Raw genomic sequence first — 3,061 nt, 5'->3', positions numbered from 1 at the left:
TGCAGTTTCTTCCTAGTCTCGATGTTCTTTACATTTTGGCATGTTTTTGCAGTGGCTGGTACAGGTTGTTCCTTTCCATGTTTAGTGCTTCCTTCAGGAGCTCTTTTAGGGCAGGCCTGGTGGTGACAAAATCTCTCAGCATTTGCTTGTCTGTAAAGTATTTTATTTCTCCTTCACTTATGAAGCTTAGTTTGGCTGGATATGAAATTCTGGGTTGAAAATTCTTTTCTTTAAGAATGTTGAATATTGGCCCCCACTCTCTTCTGGCTTGTAGGGTTTCTGCCGAGAGATCCGCTGTTAGTCTGATGGGCTTCCCTTTGAGGGTAACCCGACCTTTCTCTCTGGCTGCCCTTAACATTTTTTCCTTCATTTCAACTTTGGTGAATCTGACAATTATGTGTCTTGGAGTTGCTCTTCTCAAGGAGTATCTTTGTGGTGTTCTCTGTATTTCCTGAATCTGAACGTTGGCCTGCCTTGCTAGATTGGGGAAGTTCTCCTGGATAATATCCTGCAGAGTGTTTTCCAACTTGGTTCCATTCTCCCCATCACTTTCAGGTACACCAATCAGACGTAGATTGGGTCTTTTCACATAGTCCCATATTTCTTGGAGTCTTTGCTGATTTCTTTTTATTCTTTTTTCTCTAAACTTCCCTTCTCGCTTCATTTCATTCATTTCATCTTCCAATGCTGATACCCTTTCTTCCAGTTGATCGCATCGGCTCCTGAGGCTTCTGCATTCTTCTCGTAGTTCTCGAGCCTTGGTTTTCAGCTCCATCAGCTCCTTTAAGCACTTCTCTGTATTGGTTATTCTAGTTATACATTCTTCTAAATTTTTTTCAAAGTTTTCAACTTCTTTGCCTTTGGTTTGAATGTCCTCCCGTAGCTCAGAGTAATTTGATCGTCTGAAGCCTTCTTCTCTCAGCTCGTCAAAGTCATTCTCCATCCAGGTTTGTTCCGTTGCTGGTGAGGAACTGCGTTCCTTTGGAGGAGGAGAGGCGCTCTGCGTTTTAGAGTTTCCAGTTTTTCTGTTCTGTTTTTTCCCCATCTTTGTGGTTTTATCTACTTTTGATCTTTGATGATGATGATGTACAGATGTGTTTTTGGTGTGGATGTCCTTTCTGTTTGTTAGTTTTCCTTCTAACAGACAGGACCCTCAGCTGCAGGTCTGTTGGAATACCCTGCCGTGTGAGGTGTCAGTGTGCCCCTGCTGGGGGGTGCCTCCCAGTTAGGCTGCTAGGGGGTCAGGGGTCAGGGACCCACTTGAGGAGGCAGTCTGCCCGTTCTCAGATCTCCAGCTGCGTGCTAGGAGAACCACTGCTCTCTTCAAAGCTGTCAGACAGGGACATTTAAGTCTGCAGAGGTTACTACTGCTGTCTTTTTGTTTGTCTGTGCCCTGCCCCCAGAGGTGGAGCCTACAGAGGCAGGCAGGCCTCCTTGAGCTGTGGTGGGCTCCACCCAGTTCGCCTTCCCGGCTGCTTTGTTTACCTAAGCAATCCTGGGCAATGGCGGGCGCCCCTCCCCCAGCCTCGCTGCTGCCTTGCAGTTTGATCTCAGACTGCTGTGCTAGCAATCAGTGAGTCTCCGTGGGCGTAGGACCCTCCGAGCCATGTGTGGGATATAATCTCGTGGTGCGCCGTTTTTTAAGCCGGTCGGAAAAGCGCAATATTCGGGTGGGAGTGACCCGATTTTCCAGGTGCGTCCGTCACCCCTTTCTTTGACTCGGAAAGGGAACTCCCTGACCCCTTGCGCTTCCCAAGTGAGGCAATGCCTCGCCCTGCTTCGTCTCGTGCACGGTGCGCGCACCCACTGACCTGCGCCCACTGTCTGGCACTCCCTAGTGAGATGAACCCGGTACCTCAGATGGAAATGCAGAAATCACCCGTCTTCTGCGTCGCTCAGGCTGGGAGCTGTAGACCGGGGCTGTTCCTATTTGGCCATCTTGGCTCCTCCCGACAGATTTTAGGTGATGCATTTTCATATCAAATGGCTTATCCATGAAAGAATGTTCACTGACGAATTCTATTAGGAAACCCTGGAGGCTTCTGCCCCTACCTACATTGGGGCAGTAACACTGATCTTTGGTTAGACACTAAATCTCTTTTACCTAGTTTACCACCATAAAAATAAGACTACTAGTTGCAATTGTTTGAGGCAATAAAAAGATTTAAAATAGTTGTGCCTCCTTTGACTTCCTCAGTGTTAACTGAAGACACAAGTACTACCCTTGCAACAGAAGATAGACTAACATGATTGTACATACCCACAACTGGGACTGGAAAATTTTCTCCTTCACTCACTCACAAGGGACAAGCAGAAGTTTCAAGACAGATTCAGATGATAAAAGCAATACTCTTGGCTGGGCACGGTGGCTCATGCCTGTAATCCCAGCACTTTAGGAGGCCAAGGTAGGCAGACCACCTGAGGTCAGGAGTTCGAGACCAGCCTGACCAACATGGTGAAACCTTGTCCCTATTAAAAATACAAAAATTAGCCAGGTGCGGTGGCGCATCCCTGTAATCCCAGCTACTTGGGAGCCTGAGGCAGGAGAATCACTCAAACCTGGTGGGTGGAGATTACAGTGAGCCGATATCATGCCATTGCACTCCAGCATAGGCGACAGAGCAAAACTCTACCAAAAAAAAACAAAACAAAACAAAAAAAAGCTCTTATTGACAATAAGACTTTTTTTCTTTCTTTTTTGAGTCTCATTTGTAGAAACCTAATTGCATCCAATCATGTTTCCATGCCTTTACCACTGAATTTAAGCCTTAGGTCTCCAGCATAGATGACCCTTTTTTAAAAAAAAAATCAATTTAACTGATAAAATTTGGGTTATCATGTATGAACGCTCAACCTTTTATCACCAAACCTTTGTAAACCATTAATTCTCCTTTCTGTGACAGAAATCTTGGACTTCTTTCTCTTTTTGTTGTATACAAAATGTTTTCAAAAGTGAGGCATATATTTGCTGTCTCTGCTTTTAGTCCTCAGTCCAATCTAACTTTTACTGGATCTGCTTATCATGGAAGTCACCTGTGACCTCTCTAATTCTAAATCATTA

At 45.4% G+C, this 3,061-nt stretch overlaps 2 annotated features.

Annotated features, from left to right (window-relative positions):
• Nucleotides 1,091–1,665: an enhancer, noted in NCBI's record as "H3K27ac-H3K4me1 hESC enhancer chr4:161495471-161496045 (GRCh37/hg19 assembly coordinates)". NCBI's record gives its function as "activates a minimal SCP1, AML or CMV promoter by ChIP-STARR-seq in naive H9 embryonic stem cells {active_cell/tissue: H9 hESC(naive)}" and the evidence as "EXISTENCE:reporter gene assay evidence [ECO:0000049][PMID:30033119]".
• Nucleotides 1,666–2,240: an enhancer, noted in NCBI's record as "H3K27ac-H3K4me1 hESC enhancer chr4:161494896-161495470 (GRCh37/hg19 assembly coordinates)". NCBI's record gives its function as "activates a minimal SCP1, AML or CMV promoter by ChIP-STARR-seq in naive H9 embryonic stem cells {active_cell/tissue: H9 hESC(naive)}" and the evidence as "EXISTENCE:reporter gene assay evidence [ECO:0000049][PMID:30033119]".

This window comes from Homo sapiens, chromosome 4, assembly GCF_000001405.40.
Source record: "Homo sapiens chromosome 4, GRCh38.p14 Primary Assembly".
Taxonomy (NCBI): Eukaryota; Metazoa; Chordata; class Mammalia; order Primates; family Hominidae; genus Homo; species Homo sapiens.
This window is presented reverse-complemented; position numbering and strand designations above follow the sequence as displayed.